Raw genomic sequence first — 24,375 nt, forward strand, 5'->3', positions numbered from 1 at the left:
TCCTGGGGGGTGCTGATGTTCTTAGCTGGTAAACCACACTGTGAGTAGCAAGAGTGTGGACTATCCCTGGTATCTGGATACATGTAAAGACACAAATCCAGGTCTAGACCTTCCCACCTCACAGGGATCCTGTGAAATGCATATTAACCAACGTCACTGGAGGAAATAATTATGCAGACAAGTTAAGTAACCTGCCTGATGTCACACAGTTCGTAGGTGATCAAGCTGGAATGTGAACCTAGGGCCATCTACGCCCCCAGAGCCTTTCTTCCTTCCACTGCATCATGCTGCTTTCTCAATAAATATCTGCTCCTACGCCCCCAGAGCCTTTCTTCCTTCCACTGCATCATGCTGCTTTCTCAATAAATATCTGCTCAACTCAATAAATCACTAAGCATCCCAAAGTCAAAAGTAAATATTTTTGCATCACCCGCACCACAATCTATATCCACAGATCTTCCATTTTTTTATTGCAGACTCTTATGAGCTTAAAAAAACACTTTTGAGAATACATCCCCAATAGGCACATTTATTTAAAGTATATATTAGTACATTTTTAAAAGAATGCAAAAATAAGTATTAAAACAGATGAGATGGTAACTTTGGAAGACAATGTTTTGACTGAAAACCATAGGGCTAAAGATAAAAGGAACTGCATACTACATACCCACAAAAATTAAAAATAATTTTTAAATAAAAATTTTTTTAAAAAAGGAATGCCACAGAAACTGTGTACTCTAGTTGGTAAAGCTGCTTCTCACAGGGTGCAGAGGAGCAGCTCTGAAAGTGCTTTACATGCACACTGGAGTCAAATAAGTCAACGAAGAGTAGCTGGTGGGACCTAGTTTCTCACGGCCGGAGAGGGAAGTTACAGATAAACAAGACAGGAAAGCTAGAATGAGCCCTGTGGGACTGGACTCAGTTACACTCATGTTTAACCAGATGGATAAATACAGAAATAATTACAGAGATGTGTAGATGCATAGGTTTCCTAGCGCTATCCACTGAACGGGCCTAGAAGCAAGGCCAACCGGGACAAGACCTTCGTAAAGAATTCCAAATAATGTCTGTAGATGCACCCCCACCAGAAGGGGGAGCTCAGTTCCCATCCTCCCAGCCCCTGCCTCCAGCCCTAGAGTGTGAGCTCCACTTAGTGATTTGCTTCCCAGGAAGAGAATATAGAAAGGGGACCAAAAAGAGTCACTTTCCAATGGAGAAACCTGGCAAACACGACCCCGGCCAGGCGATCAAGGTCAACATCACCAACAAGTCAGGTGGGCACCCCTGCGGCGGCGGCATAAGAAGGGCACGTCGACTCCTTCTCACTATAAGGAAAATATCAGAGAAACCCAAAATGAGGCGCAATCTACAAAATATCTGACCGGCACTCCTCAGTACTCTCAACGTCACGAAAAACAAGGAGAGACAAGCCATCATAAACCGGAAGACACTAAGAAGACCCGGAGGATAGATGTCATCGAGCGTCCTGAATGGGACCCAGGACAGAAAAGGACAGGAGCGGATACATGAGTAAAATCTGAATCAAGGATAGAGTTTAACTCACAGTGACGCACCCACGTTGGTTTCTTATTGTGTGGCAAATGTACCCTAGTAATGTACAACACTGACAATGGAGAAAACTGATATGAGGGATACATGGGAACTCTCTGTTCCATCTTTGCAGCTTTTCTGTAAATCTAAAACCATTCTGAAATAAAAAGGTACTTTTCAAAAGGATGAGATGAAAACAGATGTAATATTCTTCCTGTGTTCCAGTAGCATGTCACCACCGTGCTATTCTAACGCCGGATGCAGGGCTCACAGACCCAGGCCTCTAAGAGTCCAGAGGGGGAAGAAGAGTGTGACGGAGGCAAGTGGACAGCCAGGCAGAGGCGGGACTGTGGCCGGCTGGGAAGCACGTGACTGTCTAAGGCATCCTAAAGCAAAATATTCCGAAAGAGAAAACAGAAACCTGCGGGTCCAGCCAGTTTGCTTCCTCTAAGCTGAGGTATAGATATTGGAAACCAGAATGCAATTTTCACAATGGAATTAATTACAGTTGTTTATGTAGTTTCTTGAGAGAAGGTCTCCCGTCCTATATTTCCCAAACACTGTTCACCTGCTGATCTGCCTTGATGTAAAAAACAACAAACAAACAAAACTGTTTCTGGATTTTTCCAAGGATACTGCCTCCACTGATTTTTTTATAACAATCATTTGATATTTGACAAATTTTATTTTAAACTTTTCCAGAAAACAGCTCATAGAGTTCTCATTTACTTACCAATGCCTACTGTGTATACTGTTACAAAATATCTTTGATTCCCCAGAACGGATCTAATTTCAAATATTATATCTCATTGTCATTCATATGTTTTGTCAGATGATAGGTCTTGATATTTAATTTAAAAATACAGTCATACTCTGAGTCATTTTGATGCTGGGGACATTTTTATATAATACATCTAACTCCCACTCAAACACTAAGTCAATATTATCATCCTAGAACTTATGAAGGGAAGAATGGGAAAAGGGGAGCAGCCAGGGACTGGGAGAGGCTGGGGGACAGGATGATGACCAAGCTTGGCACAGCACACAGCAGCAGTGCCGTGTCAGGCGAGAGGGAGCGAGAAGGCTCAGCTGGCCCTGGTATGTCAGGCTCAGCTCTGACATACCATCAGAGCTATGGCAGGTTGGGAAGGGCTCTAAGGAAAAAATGTGGAAGGTTCCAGCATCGTGGGAAAGACTTTGGAGTCAGGCACACATGAGTTTGCACCACAACAATGCCATTTATTAGCCACATTAGTTTACAAAGTATCTGCTCTAAGCCTCAGTTTCCTCATTCCAAATGGAGATATCAACACATTACGGTTGTTTGGTGAGATAAAAGCTCATCTTCTGTAATTAAAAAAAAAAAAAAAAGCAATGAGGCTTTCAAAGATTAGTAAGTCATGTCAAAATGGCATGAGAGCCAACTTAAGAAAGCTCTCTTTGGCCAAATTATGACAAGTGAACAAACAGAATAATGACTGTAAGTGAATCAACGGAAATCCATGCATCCACCATGATACTCAAAAACAGAAAAGGGAAATAAAACCCAACTTCTCAACTTCTGCAGAAGCTCTTAAACAATCCCTTACTTTGAAATTAGAAAGTAAAGGGGGAAAAAAAGTAGCATCTTGTTTCTGTTTTTACCCAGGCACTATATTCCTGGGTAATTAAATAGCCCCAGTGGTTGAGCTAAAAGTTCTAAAATTTACAATAAAAGGCCACTTTATAAAAGTAGAAAAAATAATAGAGAAAAACCTTTCATAGAACTTGAATGACATTATTAAATCAGGCAAAGATTATCCATTGATTTTAAAACATTAGATGCATGACTGACATATTTGTACTACTGCCAAAGTATTGACCCTCAGAATATTCTCTGGTTGCAAGGAGAAAAACAATGGGCTCAGGCTCTCATTGCCCTATCCAGAGGTCAATCTTAACCTCACTAGTGGTGGGACAGCCAGATACTGGGCATCTATTTCTAAGGTAATGCAACCTGAAGTACCAACTTCACCTATGAAGTATTCTAGGCAAAAATGTTTCGTGTGAATTCATCAAGACTTTGCATACAAATTCTACTTTAAGGGAAATCAGGGGATGGAGAAACAGATCCAATAAAACAACTAGACAAATCCAAAAGGTAAGACATTCTACAGGACAACTGATCTGGTCTCTTCAACAAGCGTCCAAAAGAAAAAAGTGGTGCTAGCTGAAAACAAACTTAAAAGCAAAATGCAATGCAATGAGTGGTCCTGTATTGTATACTGGTTTGGACTACCTTGTTATAATAAAATCTGGGGATCAAATGGGAGAAATTTTAAAATCATCTGCAGAGTAGAAGCAATAAAAAATTACTGAAACAGAAAATGGAATAGCACTAGTTGAACAAAGCAAGACACAAAATAGTATTTATAGTCATCTAATTTTGAATTACGGGGAAAACACACCCGCAGGTATTCATATACGCAGGTCATTAAATGATCCTGAGTGATATACACTCTGGCTTCATGGTCGTGATCTCTGGGCAGGAGGAATGTGAAATTTCTCTCCTTTCATTTTTGTTTGTCTCAACGGTATTCCTGCACTAGTCTTTGCTGATAGTGCTTCTGTAATGATAAACGATTTGTTGTTTGTCTGAAAAGTCCCTGTGTCCTAACAGGCTCACAGTGTTGCTCAGTGAGGCCAGGACAGTGACAGTGCTGAATGCTTCCACCTGTGTGAGGGCTTGTCATTCATAATGCAAGTGAGGACTTCGGAACTTCACCTGATGAATGGCAAGTTTCCTAGCAGGAAGTAAGATGTGAAAATCGGTGCTTGCGGGAAGGTTGAGCTAACAGACAAGCACAAGGTAAATTCCGCAGAAGAGACAGAAGAGACCAGCTGGAAGAGATCAAACGAATTCTGCTGGAAGTGAGAAGGACTCAGCCGAGGCAGTGGCTCTGTGTGGCCATGGAACATCATAATCATCTAAGAGTCCTTTCTAAGGAAGAGTCTGCAGAACTTCCCCACTGGCTGGGTACCAGGAGTGGTGGAAGGATCACACATGAGGCCAAGGTATTAAGCTCCAAAGACTAAGAACATCAAGAAAACCCGAAAGCCCTCCACACAGACAAACTGCAGGAGGACAAGGTACATAAAGGAGATTACAGTGGCCAGTGCTGTCAAACTTGGTGAAAAGATGGACGATGATATGGTTTGGATGTTTGGTCTCCTCCAAATCTCAGGGTGAGATGTGACCTCCAATGTTGGAGGTGGTTCTGGTGGAAGGTGTTTGGGTCATGGGAATGGATCCTTCATGGTTTGGTGCCCTCCCCACAGTAATGAGTGAGTTCTCACTCTGTGAGTCCAAGTAAGAGCTGGTTGTTTAAAAGAGCCTGCCATCCTATTCACAATAGCAAAGACTTGGAACCAACCCAAATGTCCATCAATGATAGACTGGATTAAGAAAATGTGGCACATATACACCATGGAATACTATGCAGCCATAAAAAAGGATGAGTTCATGTCCTTTGTAGGGACACGGATGAAGCTGGAAACCATCATTCTGAACAAACTATCGCAAGGACAGAAAACCAAACACTGCATGTTCTCACTCATAGGTGGGAATTGAACAATGAGAACACTTGGACATAGGATGGGGAACATCACACACCGGGGGCTGTCGTTGGGTGGGGGGAGGGGGGAGGGATAGCATTAGGAGATATACCTAATGTAAATGACAAGTTAACGGGTGCAGCCCACCAACATGGCACATGTATACATATGTAACAAACCTGCACATTGTGCACATGTACCCTAGAACTTAAAGTATAATAAAAAAATAAAAGAGCCTGCCAACACTCACTTGCTCCTGCTCTTTCCCTGTGACACACCAGCTCCCCCTTTGCCTTCTATCATGATTGGAAGCCTCTGAGGTCCTCACCAGAAGCAGATGCTGGCACCAGGCTTCCTTGCAGCCTGCAGAACCATGAGCCAGTTAAACCTCTTTTCTTTATAAATTACCCAGTCTCAGGTGTTCCTTTACAGGAATGAAAACAGACTAATAGAAATGATGAACAAGGTCAGTGAGAAAAAGATCACTGGATTTTATTGAGAGGAAATCTTATCAGACAATTCCAGTGAACGGAATTTCATCAAAATGCTGAGGATGTAGGCCAGATGCCAGAAGGTTACGCTGGAGGAGCTTGCTCAAGAAATTTAAAAATCATCTACGGAGATGTCAGTTTAAAAACAGAGAAAAGGAAAGAAAAAGAAGGAAGAAAGTATGTGTAGGAATACTCAAAGTAGATACAATGTGATCACATTAAGTAGCAATATTGACATCTCCTTTACAATGATTCTAATGTATAACTTATGCTGCCTAGAAAATTCTTAGTGTCACCAGGAGTTAAATAAGATATCACTGGTATTCACAAGATACAAAGATTACCAAAAGCATGGATAAGTCATTTGACAAAGCAAAAGTTATCAGAAGTTTATACTGCATGATACAGGAAACCATTTCCTGAAGTCTACAGTAAATGTGTTCATTTATTTTTTGCTTTGTAAGAACAAGAACCCAAACTACAATATGTAGAAAGATTGGAAACATTCATCACTAAAAGCATCATTTACAAAGAGAGTGCTATGTAAATCTCATTAACACAGAATTAATGTTCAAGTGCTCTGATCCAGAGGAAATCGTTAAGATTAAGAACTTTAACTTAAATAAACAGAAATTCTCAGAAGACTGCCACTTCACGGCCTACTTGAAAACAAGAAATTTTAAATCATGAATGCACTACATGAACTATTTTAAAAATCAAAGAGAACAACTCAAATGGATTAATGAGAATACAGATGAGGAGGAGGAATCCCCACCCAGGAGCCCTCTTAAATGTAGCTCAGCTGCCATCCAGACAGCTAGTTCAGGCAGGCCTGGGCAACCTAATTCGAATGTGGGCTCCCGCTCACCACCCCTCCTACAGTCTCCATCTCAGCTACCCAGAGTCACCATCTGCCCAACCATGCAACCATTCTTGTCCTTTCACCTCACTCTCCAGATGCTGATTCCCACACAGTATTACTGACATTACCTAGGAGAAGTCTCTGACAAGTGGCCACTCTGGCCCACCCCCTCATCCTCAGTCTTATTTCCAACCCTCACCATCTTCCCTATGACTCACTGAACCGATCCTTCACACATTTTGTCAGATTTATTCCTAAGTGTGTCATTTGTTTTGAGGCTGAAAAGGATGTTACATCATGACCAGGTAAGGTTTATCCCCAGAATGCAAGGTTGGTTTAACATTCTAAAACCAATCCATCTAAGTCACCACATTAACAAAGAAAGAAAGAAAAAATATGATCATCTCAAAAGATACATAATAAGCATTCGGGAAAATTCAGTATCCTTTCCTAATTTTTCAAAAAAATTATCAGTAAACTAGGACTATAAGGTTCAGAAAGATAAAACAATTATCTTTTATGTTACAGAACTGCTTTTAAAGTCAGCCAAAGACTAAACAACATCTAATTCTTTTTCTGCTTGCAGTCTTACGTTTGCTTTCTTGCTTTTCTTTCTTGTCTTACAATTTTCCTGAGGGGCTATTATTTATACAGCAATAATTTTCTTTATCATAGGATATCTTATGCCTTGAAATGAATGTCAGAAAATTCTCTGTATCCTGTCTTCCTTGGCAGAACAAGGAAAAAAATCTAGGATATTCAAGTTTTGATTTACAAAACTAATAAATTCTGGCTAGGGGTGAGTCACAGTGTTATTACTCCCTTACGGTCTTAAGGTGGCTCCACAGTCTGCATTAAGGAGTCTGGATCTTTAAAGTGGCATTCAGGATTCTTCACTTGTGGTCTCACCTTACATGCTCTGACCTCATCTTTTATGGCCCTACTTCAACAATATTGCCCCAAATACATACATACATACACACACACATACATATACATACATATATATATATATATATTTAAAAAGCCCGTTTCTCCTTGTTTTTGCTGAGGCTGGTCCTTTGGCTTAGAATGCCTTTCCACCACTCCCTGCGCCTTTTTGCCTGCCTCCTTCCCAAGCCGTCTGTGACCCTTTTAGTGGGAACAAGCATCTGTCGAGCACCCGTCATGTGCCAGACAGTCTGCTACGCATGGGGAAAGATGAAAGGAAAGCACTTCTGCCTTCACGGAGCTTGAAGTCTAGTGGGGTGACAGACAAGGACAGTGCCAACGACTCCGCCCAGTGATGATGAGACTGCACCTGGAGAAGGCAGGCAGGAGCCGTGCGTCTCTTCAGCTCTCAGGAAGCGGAGCATTCCCTGCAGTTGGGTTCTGTGCAACCTCCTTCACCATAAGAACTCCTGTTGACATACTAAGGATGGTCTCCATTTCAAAGATGGCCTGAAGTAACCCGTCCACTCTAACAAAGCGGGTAAAAAGCTGAGGTTCATTACAGATCTGTTTGAAGCCAAATAAATATAAGGTTTTCCCTCCTTCATTCTGCCTGTTTCAGTAGTGGAGATATTTCTAGGGGTGGGGGATAGAATTCTTTTTGTTTGACGTTGTCTCTATTTAAACTGCTTTGGATTTTTTAGAAACTAATAATGTCACCTAAATGTCCTTACCCAAAGCAAACATATTGGCTTTCTGTCAGTCATTCTCAATAGCAAATCTAACACAATTTTCCTGTTTAGCAAGAAATGCAATAAAAGCACACATCTCCTTCCACTGTCTGGTTTTTTTCCTACTGTCTTCACATGGATCATGCTGAACGCACTGGTGGCGGCTGGTTTTAAGAGAATAGTTCGTGAGTCCCACCTAGCACTGCAAAGATTCCCCAGAGTCCCTGCGGACCCTGCGGATGAACTACCTGGTGCTTCGCGGTGACAGCGTCTTGCAAAGATTTCAGGGTTTCTGAGAATCCTGGTGTTTTGCTGCCACGAATCATAACCTGGGAGAATACTGAAGCGGGGCTGGCAGCTTTATACATTTGCTAGACAGGTGTTTCTAGGCTTCCTCCAAATAAGCATGTCAATGCCTAGATTATTTGGATGTTTATGTTAAAATTTAATCTCAGGCTGGGCACAGTGGCTCATGCCTTAATCCCAGCACTTTGGGAGGCCAAGGCGGGAGGATCACGTGAGGTCAGGAGTTTGAGACCATCCTGGCCAACATGGAGAAACCCCATCTCTACTAAAAATACAAAATTAGCCGAGTGTGGTGCACACGCATGTAGTCCCAACTACTTGGGAGGCGGAGGCAGGAGAATCGCTTGAACCCAGAAGGCAGAGGTTGCAGTGTGCCGAGATCGCACCGTTGCACTCCAGCCTGGGCGACAAAAATGAAACTCTGTCTCAAAAAAAAAAAAAAAATTAATCTCAAATGTTTATTAAAATTCCTTCTCAGGAATTCAGGTATTATCAGTTAGTTGCTGAGGCACCCCAAACTAAGCTACTTTGAGAGAGCTTACCATGTACCATTTCTATGAGACACACCGGAAGTGTCCGTAAGGATGCTTGTGGTCCAGTCCTAAAGACAACAAAAAATGTCAAAACAAATTGAAAAATATTTCATCTCTTAAGGTGGTGGTCCTCAAACTGTGGTCTCCACACCAGAAGTAGCGGCAGCACCTGGGGGCTTATTCTACATGCAAACTCCCAGGCCCTCTGCAAATGGGGTCCAGCAAGCTGTGGCATAACCAGCCTTCCAGGTGATGCTGATTCTGGTTAACGCAGATGCCACTGCCTTAAGTTGCTGGCATGATCAGATGTAGCAGCCTATGATCAACAGGAAGACACACTGGAAGAGCAGAGCAATTCTTTAGAGGTCATTTCATTTGCTTTCCTGTTCCCTCATCCAACGTTTAATGACAGCCTGCTCCATGTCAGCCCCTGTAGCAGGCACTGGAAGTGCAGAGGTTCCTGTGGTATCCCACTCTGATCCATGGACACAAAGTCTACTGGGGAAACCACACATACATGCCATCGGCCCTTGAACAACATGGGTCTGAGTTGAGCAGGTCTGCTTAGAAGCAGATTTTTTTTTCAACCAAAGGTGCAACAAAAACACAGTATTGGTGGGATGTGAAACCCACATATTTGCAGGGCCAACTTTTCATATGCAGGGGTTCTGCAGGGCCAACTGCAGGACTAGAGTATGTGTGGATTTGGGTGTATGGAAGATCCTGGAACCAATCCCCCGTGTATACCAAGGGGAGACCATCATTTAAAACGCTGGCAGTTGGTGTTGGTGTTGTTCAGACAGTGTTTGTTGCTCAGCACAGCAAACCATCACTGACATAGGCCCTGAAGGGGCCCCGTGGACACACTCTGCCTCTTCCGTGGCATCTCTGTGGTGAGGCCTCTGCAGACGATCCGCCTAAAACAACGAGCAGGAGTCACTCCCGTGTCTTTCCTTGTTTGTCCACGTGGTATTTGTTTGCTGCTTGTCTCTTCTGCTGGATGTCAGCTCAGGAACGTCGCCTTGTTCACTGTTACGCCCCCAGCATTCAGAACTGGGCATGCTCTAGGTGCTCACTGGATGTTTGCTGAAGGAATGGATTACATGAAATGTCACAGGGGTTCCTGGAGACAGTGATCATCATGCAAGGCAAAGGACAGGAACTCAAGGAACAGGCCGTCCCCCTTCTCTGTCCTTAACATCTGTGTTAGAATTCCACATGCAGCAGACTCTCTCTGCATCTCTTACTTCTACATTTCTTATTAAGTTTTGAAATTGTTGAGCAGATTAAAGGATTCCTTTGAAGCTTTTATGCTTAAACTTTGTGGAAAGAAATTCCCTGTCTCTGTAACTATTACTGGGACAGATTAGAAATAATTTGGAACTGAATTGGATTTGCTATTTTGTAAGCTTTTCTTATCTACCAAGGCTAATAGCAGAAACTTAACTCCTTACAATAGCCCCGGAGAAAGTATTATTATCTGCATTTCACAGATTGGAAACTGAGGGTCAGATAGGCTAAAGGGTTTATACTCCACTGCTCTATAAATATGGTTTGAATTGAGACAGAATGTTTTGTATCCCATAATAAGTTGGGAAACTTAGAAATTATACGTAAAGGGGCAGCAGGATATCACGGAAACAGCGTGAACTTTGGATTCAGACATATCCTGATTTGAATTTTAACTTCTACTTAGTAACTGCTTGACCTTGGGCTAACTTAATCTTTCTAAGCTGTTCAGTCATTTCCACTTGAATGATGGGAAGTTGTAGTCATGAGGGAAGTAATCTGTAAACACTGTCACCGCGCTAAATCTCCTCGGCGTCACATCCCGAGCCTCTGTCTCGCTCTTCTTCTGGCCTCGGCCTGTTCGGCTGCCTGCCATGCCTGGGCGTGCCAGCCTAGCAGAGGGGCCGGAACCGTGAATTCTGCCATCAGCTGGCCCAGGGCCGAGCCTGCCTCTGCCGCTGAACTACTGAGGTGATTCAGGGCAAGGCACCCAGCAGGGCCACGCCGCTGTCTTCATCTAGAAAACAGGAATGCTGGGAGGGACCCCCGCCTCACAGGTCTGTGGTGAACGCGCACCGTCAATGCAGAGGAAACTCCAGGCGCAGGGCCCAGCACCAAGTGAGCATCGGAAAATGCTGGACAGGACACTGTGGCGGCTGCTGCTGCTGGAGGGAAGTGGGGGGTTCCTCCACTCTCTCTGGACTTCCCCATCCCCCCGTCTGCCTGAAGAATCCCAGCCGGTTCTCCGGGAAGCCTTCTCTCTTCCATGTCCCCCCACGCCCCCGCTAGCTTCATCTCCCTCCCTTGCCTAAGCCCTTTCTCTCCTGGATTCCCTGTACCCGCACCCCCTTTCCCACCCAGCAAACCGACGATTACATGGCTGTCTTGGGAACAAACAGATGATGAAGGCACTGCCTGTCCCCAAGGAAGGCCACAGTCCCAACTGCACACCTCTACGGCAAGAGCAGCGCTGGGCACCATTGCTTCTGTGGATGTTCTCTCCCCCGGCTCTACTGCAAGATTTTCAAGGGCAGAAGCATGTCTTATGCAAGCCTGTGGCCATGCTCCTCACACAAATCAGGCTGCTGTAAGTGTTCAAGGAGTAACTGGCATAATACGTGTTTTCCTCGCCGCTGATGGGAACAGCCATTCTGCTGCTCCCCAGGCCCCGAAGGGCTCGTGGAAACCATTTTTAATTTGTAACACAGCTTGATTAAGAAGCAATGCTATTTGTTGTATATCCTAGGGTTTTTTTTTTTTTAAAAACTTGAATACATTTGCTCCTAAGTTGTCTTTACAGATTCTTTTGGTCCATTTGCAACTGTAATTATTAAAATGTAAAAGTTAGCTGGGTGTGGTGGCTCACACCTGCAGCCCTAGTGCTTTGGGAGACCAAGGCAGGAGGTTCACTTGAGGCCAGGAGTTCAAGACCAACCTGGTCATCAAAGCCAGACCACATCTCTACAACAAATTAAAAATAAAAAAAAGTATTTTTTTTAAAATTAGCTGGAAGGCCAGGCATGGTGGCATATGCCTGTAATTCCAGCACTTTGGTAGACCGAGGCAGGTGAATTACTTGAGCCCAGGTGTTCGAGACCAGCCTGGGCAACATGTTGAAATCCTGTCTCTGCAAAAAATACAAAACTTAGCCAGGTGTGGTAGCACGCACCTGTAGTCCCAGCTACTTGAGTCGCTGAGGCAGGAGAATCACTTGAGCCCAGGAGGTCAAGGCTACAGTGTGCTGTGATCACACCACTGCATTCTAGCCTGAGCAACAGAGCACAACCCTGTCTCTTAAGAAAAAAATATAAAAGTATATAGAAACTTCATAAACATCCCACAATTCTTTATTTTAAAAGCTAAAGTAACGTATTTTACATGACGTATCTGAATGTTGTTAGAATCCCAAAAAACCCAGAGTTAAGCTTTATTCTGATCGAATGAGATAAAACATACTTTACTGCCTTGCTTTGCCTCACTAATGAAGAGAATCTTCAGGCAACCCCATGGAGAGGGGCTGTCTGGCCTCACTGTCTGGAATATCCGGGTCAAGAAATGTGTACAGAAGGCATGCTTCACAAGCCCATGGCCACGAGGCGCTTACAGTGATGGGGAGCTCAGCAATATAAGCAAAGGACAACAGTAACAGTGTGGGAGGTGCTACCATCCAGGTGGGAACGGACAGCAGACGAGGACACAGGAAGAAGGGCCTGACTCTGGGTGTGCCACTTGCGGAGGAAGGCTCAGCAGACCAGGTGACCTCAGAGCTCACCCAGGAGGACAGAGGAGCATGCCATGAATGAAAGGAAGTGAGCAAGAAGGCCCAGCCAAGCAAAGAGCCTGCGCTCAGGACCAGCAATGCAAGAAGACACGCCTCATCCAGCCAGGTAAGCAGATGCGGATGGCTGGCCTCAGGCAAGCGCAGGCCACCTCTCATGGTGAAGGACAGGGGTAGCTGCCCAGGGCTGGTAGATGCATTTCATCAGGCAGAGGAAGCTCCATCCTGTTTCTGATTTGCTGAGAGTTTTCATTCTAAATAGATGCTGGGTTTTTATCAAACGCTTTTTCTGTCTCTTGAGATGGCATACATAGTTTTCCATTTTCAGTTTGCCAATATGCAGAATTACATTTGCAGGTTTTCTCATGTTAAGCTAACCTTGCATTCCCCAGATAAACCCCAGTCCGTCAATATTTTACATAGGGTTAAATAGTAGATGCTCAATTTTTGCTTAAAATTTTTGCATCTGTGTTCAGGAGGGATATTGGTCTGTAGTGCTTTGGGTTGTACTCTTTGGGGATTTTTTTCCCCCATGATCTCTTTGCCTGGTTTTGGTATCAGAGAAATGTTGACCTCACAGAATGACTTAAGAAGTATTCCTTCATTTTTAGGTTTCCTGAAGGAAGAGTCTACATAGATTTCATATTATTTCTCCCTTAAGTGTTTGGTAAGATGCATAAGTAAGCCATCTGGCCCCAAAATTTTCTCTATGGGAAGGCGTTTTTTTTCTTTTGTCTTTTTTAAGAAGTTTTTTTTGGCTGGGCATGGTGGCTCACACCTGTAATCCCAGCACTTTGGGAGGCCGAGGCAGGCAGATCATGAGGTCAAGAGATCGAGACCATCCTGGCCAACATGGTCTCTACAAAAAATATAAAAATTAGCTGGGCATGGTGGCGCACACCTGTAGTCCCAGCTACTTGGGAGGCTGAGACAGGAGAATCGCTTGAACCCAGGAGGCAGAGGTAGCAGTGAGCCAAGATCGTGCCACTGCACCACTCTAGCCTGGTGACAGAGCAAGACTCTGTCTCAAAAAAAAAAAAAAGTTTTTTTGTTTTTTTGTTTTTTTACTTTCTAATCTTCTTTTTTGTTGACTTTTTTATTTTATTATATTTTCCATTTCAATTTTCTTTCTGAGCCCTCATGATCTCATATGGGAAGGTTTTAACAAAACATTCTGTTTCCTAAGTGGCTATGTCTATTGTGGTTGTCTATATCTGTGTGTAAGCATTGGTATTTTGTGTCTTCTAAGGAATTTGTCACATCATCTCAGTTTTCACATTTATTAGCATAAACTTTTTATAATATATTCTTATCATTTTAATATCTATAAAATCTGTGTTATGCCAACTCTCTCATTTCTAATACTGTTAATTTGTGTCTTCTCTCTGATCAATCTGGCTGGAAGCTGATGAATTTCATTAACTGTTCTCCAAAAATAAGCTTTTGGTTGCTTTGTCTATGTTGGGTTTCTGTTTCCTATTTCATTGTTTTCCACTCTGATCTTTATTATTTCCTTTTCTACTGACTTTGGGTTTAATCTACATTTTTTTTTTCTAATTTCTTAAAGTGAAGCACAACCTCTGGCTCCCACAGGAGCTTCCCATGAATGAAGCTACAGCTATTACACCTACCTGCTCAAATGTTAAGAGATAAGATGTTGACAAGGGGGAGCAGGAACCAACAGGCTCCCCAAAGCCAACCATGCACAGAGCTTAAGGGAGGCCTGGCCCCGCCTCCTGGCAAACTAGTTTCGTTAGGATTTCAAAACTGCTTTCCAGCAAGCTATAAGCAGGTGTGGAGTGTTTACAGAGCAGTATTGCACATGGAGGGTAGTAGAATCTATTCAGAGCCAGAGAGCACACCACGATAAATGGCTGCAGCCGTGCATGCTGGTGTCCGCTCCCTGACTGTTCACAGTCGTTCCAGCCACTTGGAATGCTTTATCCTCCAGGTCTCAGCTGGCTCCCACATCTCTATGCAGCTCTGAAGGCTGTGCATAAGTTGGATGCCTTCAACAGGCAAAGCCATGGGTACCTCTAGTGCCACACGGCACACAGTCCAACTCAGGGAAAAGCCTCCTGTTGCCGGGCATTTCTGCAGCCCCAGTCCGTGATGTGGGCACCAAGTTTGGGCCCTTCTCAGAAGGGCTCTCAATGGAGCCCCTGCCATGTTCTGGTTACGATGACATGTTTTAGGCACGTCATATCCAACTCAGAGGGTAGACACCAGCCTGGCTTTGCAGTTGGGGGAAGCCAGGCTAGGCAGCACTAAGTACCTGGCCAAAGGCCCACAGCTGATGTGGGCAAAGACCAGACTCCCAGCTACTCAGGGGACCCGACATCTACCTGTTCCAGAGGCCCTTACACCCCTGCCTAGTCCAGAGCTGCTCTTGTTGTTAACAACCAGCAGGACTGTGACTGACCTGGACTCACTGACCAAATCTCATTTTCCTCCTTACATACAAGAATGAAGTTCCAATGAATTATTTCCTAACTTGGTCCAACCTTCTTTCTTTCCCCTGCCAGGCTCTTTTATCATTTAAGCCTCCCAACAATCCTATGAAGGAAGCATTGTCGTTCAATTTTACAGAGGGGGATGCTGAGAGTCAGAAAAGCTGGACTGTCTTGCTGGCTTGCATAAATATTGTTTCTAAGATGCATCCAATTCACACAGTCCCTATTTTCAACCCTAGAAGATTCCTCCTGAGGCACGCAGGAAAGACAGTCATGAACGTGGACAGACACAGTCACTCTAGCTAAATGGAGGAAGGCATCTTTCTGGAAAACCTGAGAAACACATGTTATCTTTCCCACTTCTCGGGGTGCTCCCTAGGAGCAGCTTTCACTGAATTACTTGTTTCCATGACTACACCATTCCTCGGTGATAGTTTTATAGGTTTAGCACGATTCCAATTAAATCACATCATTCCTGCTTCGGGGAGAAGGGCTCTGTAACAAGCTCATGGTGCCAGATGCCCCTACAGCAATAGATGTCCCCACAGACAGCACTGTCAGCCACTTCACTTGCACAGCTCCCGCTCCGGTCCCCAGAGAGGCTCAGCCGTCCCGCAGAAGACAAACCTCGACAACCAGAAAATGCCGCATGATTGCACAGGTTTGAAATCCACCACATTCACTACTGATGGATCTCAGGCAAACCCAACTGCTCCCTCTTACCCAGGACGCACCCACGCTCCTTCCGTGGGTGGCACAGCACCTTTACCTAGAAGGCCCTTCACGGACCTTTCCCATCAGATCCTGTCCTCCTTAAGGGTGGGACCACAGGATGAAGATTATTAGAAGAGACACAGAGGGCAGGCGCCGGGCACGGTGGCTCACGCCTGTAATCCCAGCACTTTGGGAGGCTGAGGCAGGTGGATTGCCTGAGCTCCGGAGTTCGGGACCAGCCCAGGCAACACAGTGAAACCCCATCTCTACTAAAATACAAAAAAAAATGAGCTGGTCCTGGTGGCGGACACCTGTAGTCCCAGCTACTTGGGAGGCTGAGGCAGGAGAATTGCTTGAACCCGGGAGGCAGAGGTTGCAGTGAGCCAAGATCACGCCACTGCTCTCCAGCCTGAGCGACAGAGCAAAACTCCATCTCCGAAAAAAAAAAAAAGGAAAAGACAAAGATTCATGCCCTGACTCCACCACCCACAGACGCGGCGAACTTGGGCAAGTCTTCCCTAAACTTCCGCTTCCCCACTCACCTCATAGGATATTTACAAGGATTGAGGAAACCTGGGAATGTCAAGCACCCAAACAGTCCCTGCCCGGCAGACCCCAATCCATAAACGTCAGTTCTCTTCCTCTCAGTTCCCACGCTAAAGCCGTGGAGGAGGGTGCCCAGGCCACTCGAGGAAAGTGGCTGGCCTCCAAGGGCAGACGGGGGTCGCAAGGCAGCAATGAGACAGAGAACCGATGAAATGATGGTCCAAGGGGAAGGCATCAAAGGCCTCGAGTGCAGGATACAGAGGCGTTGGGACTCTGTCCACAGGTAAAATTCAGAAAAGCTGTAGTGAAAGAAGAAGGTGTCACAGTGTAACTGACAGAGACCAAAGTGGGTAACTTGGAGAGTGTGACATCACCTCAAGGAGCCTCAGTTTTCTCCTTAGAGGATAATAGCACCTACTCAAACAACTCTCAAGGGAATCCAAAAGGACAATTTCGATGCAAGTGCCTGATATGCAAGAGTTCCTCGGTAAACGGTAATGATATTTTAATCATTACATTTAAATACATGTACGAACATTCATCTCTATCTATATACATTTATAATGATTCCAAAGAAAAACAGCACATTCACCCTTGCAACACTCAATTGAAGAAAACAAAATCCATGCCACAGGCACCAAGACCCAACCAAGTGTGAAGAGCATCTCCTAGATTTTGAAATGTTACCCTAAACTGTAAGAGCCTATCCTGTGAGACACAGAAAAAATCCTCTTCTTGTCTAACAGAGTACCTCAAATGTGAGAGATGCCCCCCAAAAGAAGTATGAGTGGAACACAAAGCAAAGGAAGGAACCAACAAACTCCGCGTGCCTCTGAAACCCTTGGCAGCCTGGCCTGTCTCCTCTCAGCCCTCTCCGTGCTCCCGTGCTCAGGACAGCAGGCCTGCAGCAGCATGCCATACACACACAGACTTCAGGGGCCTCTGCACCTGCCAGCCGCAGGTTCGGGAATGCCCTCTCCACTCTGGCCTGCTAGCTCACCCCAGCTTCTTCTTCCTTCAATACTCCACTTGAGTGCAACTTCCTCTCACAGGCCTTCCTCGACTTCCTCCGTGCAGCCATAGCAACGAGGATCACCTGTATTCTAACCACTTTTTCTTGTTTTATTTACTTGTATCTTAGCCACCAGCCCAGGAGTTCCATGAAGTCAAGACAGCCATGATGCACCCTTGTTTCCCCATCACACGGCACGCTGCTTAACACGGTCCTCAGTGGACAAGGCTGAGTTACTGGCTTGTATGACAGCCCCCAACTCGAGGGCTCCTAAAAAGGAGGCCCCTGAAATCCATCACTGTGTCCCAACCCCGGGGCACCGTAACTGACTCACAACTGGAGCACAATATACGTTGTGCTTTAATTCAGCAAAGAGGCAGAGTGAGGGAGGGTCAGAAGGAAGCCTGAACCCAGCCTCTGCAGTCAGCGCTGCTAGGGGCTTAAGGGAGAGCGCCACATCTGGTCCACTGCAGAATGGATGGAGTGATACAGCGATGGCCAGGCAAAACAAGGACATCCTCTGTGGCCTTGAGGAGGTCCTACTCGGGAGGAAGTCTGGAATGGCACAAGGAAGGTGGGAGGAAGACACGAAGCAGCACAGGGTTGAAAGTAAACTCTGTGAGGGACTGGAGTCTGAGGATGAGAACAGGCTGCGCAATGAGAGGGTGCCGGTAGCAGTGGACGGCCTCTGGCAGGATCTAAGCATGAGGAGTAACACCAGAAGGGGACACTAGTCAGGCTCCTTTCCCACGAAAGATTCTATAACCCCGCATCTGGACTTACAGCATAATACAAATAAATATACCCCCTACAGCTGTGTCAAAACAGTTTACAGACACATGTAAACACCTGCTCCCCAAAATTCCCGGGGCCTGCCTGTGCCAGTGAATCCCTACCGTAACAAGGAACACAGATCGTGAAAGGGCCCACACTAGTGAGCAAGCTAGTATATTCAATGCCATGGCGAGCCAGGCACGGTGGCTCATGCCAGTAATCCCAGCACTTTGGGAGGCCAAGGCAGGCAGGTCACTTGAGGTCGGAAGTTTGAGACCAGCCTGGTCAACAATGGTGAAACCCCATCTCTACTAAAAACACAAAAATTAGCTGGGCATGGTGGTGCACGCCTGTAATCCCAGCTACTGCAGAGGCTGAGGCACAAGAATCACTTGAACCCAGGAGGTGGAGGTTGCAGTGAGCCGAGATCGCGCCACTGCACTCCAGCCTGGGCAAGAGAGCAATACTCTGTCTCCAAAAAAAAAAAAAAGTCATGGCGAAAGTCTAGAAGGAGTTCAAGTGCTCAGATAAAAGCGTGCCAATAATCTATACAGAAAATCGCAGCTGGTCTCACAGCAAACGGCCAGCAGAGCTGCACGACGCCACCACGACACTCGAACCTCTCCACTACTCCACCAGCATTTAGGAATAAACACCTAAGATGTTAGTAGGCCCAAAGGAACATCTTTCCAAATCAGCATTTTTCATTCTATCCCCAGCTCTGAAAGAATAACCAGAAGGTAAATAGGTCTGAGGGGTGGGATTTCCAGAATTGCTTAGTGGGAAGCTTGGCTAAACCTCTGCCCAAAAAGCAAAGATGCAAATGGACAAAGTCATCAAGAACAACCATTTAAAGATGTTCAAACTGACCAAAGGCATACAACAAATTGAGAAGCATTTATTCATGACAATCTCGTTAATCTTGGTAAGAGCAAGGGAGACTGTGGCATTTTAGACAGGGGCTGGTTCCACTGCCCCTGCTACTCCCAACTCCTTGGCACACAAGTTCTACCTGGCCAGGAGAGACAAGCAGAAGACTGTCTGCTGCTCTGCTACCTGCTGGAAGAGGCTGACTTTATTTGGATCAGAGGGTGGAAAACACATGTCCAGGGGTGTTGTCAAAAATAACAGTGGGAGGCCAGGTGTGGTGGCTCACATCTGTAATCCCAGCACTTTGGGAGGCAGAGGTGGGTGGATCACTTGAGGTCAAGAGTTCGAGACCAGCCTGGTCAACATGGTGAAACCCCGTCTCTGCTAAAAATATAAAAATTAGCCGGGTGTGGTGGCGCACGCCTGTAATTCCAGCTACTCTGGAGGCTGAGGCAGGAAAATCGCTTGAACCCAGGAGGCAGAGACTTCAGTGAGCCGAGATCGCACCACTGCACTCCAGCCTAGGTGACAGAACGAGACTCCCATCTCAAATTAAAAGAAAAAAAAAAACTGGATTTTAGGAGGAAACAGTCAGGGAAGGTAACACTGCAGCTGGCCTAAAGTCACAAAACTAGTTGGGGAAATGATAAAACAGCAGACCCGCCAGAAATTCAGCAGGAAGAGCCAGTGAATGAAAGAGCACAGAAGGCCTTGGTGAGACCCCAGTTACCCCAGTGAAACCGTTTCTATAAACTTTATACAATAAATCAGGGAAGAAAGGAAGGGGAGAAGGAAAAACAAAAAAGCCTGCAGCACACTCGGCGATCATCGCGAGGGCAGCCTGCCCGGCCTGCTTCCTCAGCGCTGCCGGAGCCTGAATTGCCCCAGAATCACACAGACCTTGCTCCAAGACCCTAGTTCCCCTAAGAGCTCCGTCGATAGCCGCTTGAACGTTACAAAACGTTACGTTTTCCCTTTGAGATAGTCCTTCCGGTCCCGCATACCAGTGTAACTACCGACATCTGCTGGCCTGAAGGACCCCACTTATGCCAGGTGTCTGAGGGACCTCACGGAGAGTTAATTCATCAAAGAATGCAGTTTCCACATCCTGATGTTTCATCCCCCTCACCACAACCAATGACCCCAGCTTTTCAGGTCCTTACCTTCCACGACCCCCTTATAACCCGCAGCCCAGAATTCCTCAGGGAGATGGGTTTAAGGGTCTCCTCCCACCTCCTCGTGTGGCTTCCTGCTGTCATTAAACTATCTCTTCGCTGCAAACCCTGCTGTCTCCATGTCATGGGTCTGCTACTATACACGGGGCAAACGAGCCTGTTGGTCCCACAACGCTGGAAACCTGGGCAGCTGTGCACATGCACAAGCCCTCACACGTTCAGGACAAACCAGAGAGGGCCCCCATGAGCCACTGACCCTGGCTCAATGTGAGGCCTTGTGAATTCAGACGAAAGAAACAGCCCTGCAGTTTGACAGCAATCCCCAAGGCACGTGCAGATCCATCGGGGAATGGTGGAAGGCCTGCTGAACTGAAGCATTTCAGCACAACCTCTAATCAGACACTGGCTGCCCACAAAGCTCCAGGGCACCTGGGGCACGCCCTGGGAATCCAGGCAAGCAGTAAAAACAGGAAGGAGAAAATCACCAACAAAGCAGAGACGTCACACACTGAGGAAAACAGACTCCACGAAGGTAAGTCAAGGCAAGTTGCAAAACTGATGGACAAACAAGAAGAACAGCAACACGCAGCGCCAGGGGAGGGTGGTGGGGCTCAGCCTCCAACTTGCTACGATCCATTACCTAAAAGATCCAGCTTTCCACAAAAAATTATGAGACATGCAAAGAAAGTCTGCCTCAAGCCCACCAGACAGCACCCTCCCGTACTTGGTAGCTCCGTGCATGTGCCGTGCAGTTGCACTCTGGGGCCTTTGCTGCCTCTGCTGGGAAGCTTCTCCCACACCAGTCCCCTTGGCTAACCCAAGAGCCCAGCAACACAGTAACCAAGCTGCCGTGCAAACAGAAGCTCTCCAGGAATGGGGCACTCCCCGCTACCAACAACCCCCTTCTTTACTGCAGAGCCCAAAAGGGGAGAGGACTCTTCCCCTAAAACTAGCTCCTTCCAAGTTCAATCCACTGACATGACCTCCATCAACCAGAACTGGCCTATTCCTTCTTGCCATGACCTCATCAGATAGCACCCCATGCTCCTCCACCCCTCCTCTTGGTTGAGTGACAGCAGCTCCAATGCCTCAAAGTCCACTGTATCACTGACTCACAAGCATCTTGGCCAAGCGATTCTGATGTTCCTAACCAGTCCCTGCCCTCTTAAATTTGGCATGAGGACTGTAAACAGCATCCCAAAGGCTGGTCCTGAACACAAGTGTGCCTGAAAGTGACATTGCCGCCTGCAGCCCAGTCACAGCTCTTAGGCCCTGCAGTCCTCCTGCTCTACACGCTGTCCCTGGGCCAGCTCAAACAGCCAGAGCTTCCCATGTGCTGAAGACTCAAAACCCCGGAGCACTTGTGTAGGCCTCTCCACGGAGCCAGCAGCCACCTCTGCTCACTGCTGGCCTACAAGCCCGCGGCACGTAGCTTTGCACTGACATTCACTTGCTACCGGCATATCTGTCTTGGCTTCCTTGGTGCTTCCAAACCAACAATTGGGAAGGGTTGCCAAAAGATTAAGAAAAATGTACAGGGTAAACATCCGAACTGAGGTATGCAATAAATAAACTTTTCAAATGAATAGAGAAACGGCAGGAGAGAGTCTGCTTTAATCACCGCACGCCTGGATTCAGCCCACGGAATCTCCGTGTTCCAAGGACATAAGAGTTTGCAACACCAAACAATGCACTCAAGCTTCACTGTGACGGCTTTCCAAAACATTGTCCAAGAACAAAGAATACCAAGAATCCAGCTTTCAAATACACATAGCCTTTCCTTTCTGAAAAGGACTCAGAGCTGTGCTTCAGAAACGGCTTTGCAGAAGCCCGAACGGCACGTGGCAGATGCCGTCTGCCATACCAACTCACCTTCACGTGGCTGTAGTCGCCTGCTTTGTTGCTCTCGGGTGGGTTCACAGGTTTGCCCTCCACTCGGGGCCGAACGACCTGCCGAAAAGGACTGGACAGGGGAAAGCCACTCACACTGATTCCATCTACAAAATAAGAACAAAAATCATAAGTAACACGTCAGCTTGGTTTTGGGGTTTGTTGTTGTTGTTGTTGTTTGGGACGGGTCTCGCTCTGTCGCACAAGCTGGAGTGCAGTGGTGCAATCTCTGCTCACTGCAACCTTTGCCTCCTGGGCTCTGGTGATCCTCCCACCTCAGCCTCCCTAGTACCTGGGACTAAAGGCGTGCGCCACCACACCTGGCTAATTTTTGTATTTTTGGTAGAGGTGGGGTTTCACCACGTTGCCCAGGCTGGTTTTGTTTTTGTTTTTGTTTATGTAGGGGATTTTGTTCAAAAACTGTGACTGTAAGGAGCATGCCAGTTTCTGTCCTGACTATTCTACCTTGTATCAGTTACAGCTGCCTGATGTGTCCTCCATAAGCACATATTCACATCTACTATGAGTAAAAGCTGAGAGTGCATCAGTCCTTAAAAAGGACAGCTCCTTACCACCTGGATGTGATGACCAAGGCCCCAGCCTTCCCTCTGCGTTTGGACCACGCAGAGCCCATCTCTCTCCTGGGCCTCTGCTGAGCCGCTCCTCAGGCTGGAATGAGTTCCCCTCCCTTCGTGCAGCCAGCTCTCTCTTGCCGCTTGACCTTAGTCTAAGTGCTACCTCCTCACCCAGCTTCAAGCAGCCACCACTCTCTGCCACAAGACCCTACTTAAACCTCCGAGGAGCCACACTCTGCCATCTGGGTTTTTTTCTTACTTGTTAACAGTATCTATCGATTGACGGGTCTAACCCACGAATCATCTTTAAGTCCTCTCTGCATCTCACGTCGCATGTCCAACCCAAAAGGAAATCCTGCTAGCTCTGAGAGTATGTCCAGGGATGGCTTTCGTGGTTCGCACCAACTCAGAGTCACTGTAGTTTTCCTCCTGGCTCTTCTCCCCCGTTGCCTTCACTCCTTTCCCTAAGTCAACTCCCCACACAGCTCGCAGAGTCTCCTGAGGAAAGGGGGCTCACACCCTGCCCCTAGCACTCAAGAGGAAATGTCAAAGTCTGCACTGGTCTCCAAGGCCTCTGCATGATACACCATTTAACAGAAGAGAAGACCTGGCGGAATGAATGAGATATTTGACTGCAGTTTTATATATTCTCAAGAACGTAAAGATACTGCCTCCTGAGGAGTTATCTTCAAGTAGCTGCAGCTCCCTAACAGAACCCAGCTGGCATGCGGGAGAAGTCTACCTATGAGTATGGCGAGTATCACAGACTTCCAGTGTAAACCAGGCCAAGAGAACAAACCACCAGAGGCAACTTGTGCAAGAAATCACGTTCATACTGATTTTGACTTAAGATACATGCAACAGCAGAGACAAAAGAGCAAATGGTAGAAAGTGAGGTTGGTAAGATGTGGACTCACATCAGTATGACACTTTATGCTTTCTAAACTTGCCCTCGTTTTATTTATTCTTTCTTTTTAAGTTCCAGAGTACATGTGCAGGATGTGCAGGTTTATTCCATAGGTAAACGTGTGCCATGGTGGTTTGCTGCACCTATCAACCCATCACCCACGTATTAAACCCAGCATGCATTAGCTATTTTTCCTAATGCTCTCCCTCCCCTCACTCCACCCCACAACAGGCCCCAGCGTGTGTTGTTCCCCTCCCTGTGTCCATGTGTTCTCATTGTTCAGCTTCCACTTGTAAGACAGAACATGCGGTGTTTGGTTTTCTGCTCCTGCGTTAGTTTGCTGAGGATAATGAAACTTGTCCCCATTTTAAAGAACAGCAATAAACAACCTGCTCGCAGTCATACTGGCAGTCATTGATCCTAGGCATCGTACCACACATGAATGGATGTTTAGTAAACTTGATTGGATGGATGGATGGGTAGACGGGTGGCAAGTCTGAAACTCACACTCGGTGCTTTTGATTCTAAGCCTAGGATCCTTTTCGCTTTAACACAGTTGTTGGGAAAGAAAATTTCAATGGCTGCATATCTCAAACGAACCCATCTAAGTAACTTCTTATTAAGAAACTAAAGCTTCTTGTGATAAGATGAAGAGTATTTACTTTTAATTGACA

General features: G+C 46.1%; 1 protein-coding gene and 1 long non-coding RNA gene across 19 annotated transcripts in view; one reads left to right on the forward strand and one right to left on the reverse strand.

Moving 5' to 3' along the window:
• TRAPPC9 (trafficking protein particle complex subunit 9) overlaps nucleotides 1-24,375 on the reverse strand; it is a 730,855-nt gene that overhangs the window by 471,533 nt on the left and 234,947 nt on the right. For all 18 annotated transcript variants that reach the window (NR_164662.1, XM_011517326.3, NM_031466.8 and 15 more), the window contains one exon: nucleotides 22,202-22,326. Coding sequence is in view for 17 of the 18 variants with exons in the window: in XM_011517326.3 (XP_011515628.1) it covers nucleotides 22,202-22,326 (125 nt within the window). In the remaining variant the exon portion in view is untranslated. The remainder of the gene's footprint in view (nucleotides 1-22,201; nucleotides 22,327-24,375) is intronic.
• On the forward strand, nucleotides 842-24,103 carry LOC124902029 (uncharacterized). Its single transcript, XR_007061118.1, has 2 exons — nucleotides 842-12,894; nucleotides 22,695-24,103. It is a non-coding gene; the product is annotated as an uncharacterized LOC124902029 (long non-coding RNA).

This window comes from Homo sapiens, chromosome 8 (assembly GCF_000001405.40).
Source record: "Homo sapiens chromosome 8, GRCh38.p14 Primary Assembly".
Lineage (NCBI taxonomy): Eukaryota > Metazoa > Chordata > Mammalia > Primates > Hominidae > Homo > Homo sapiens.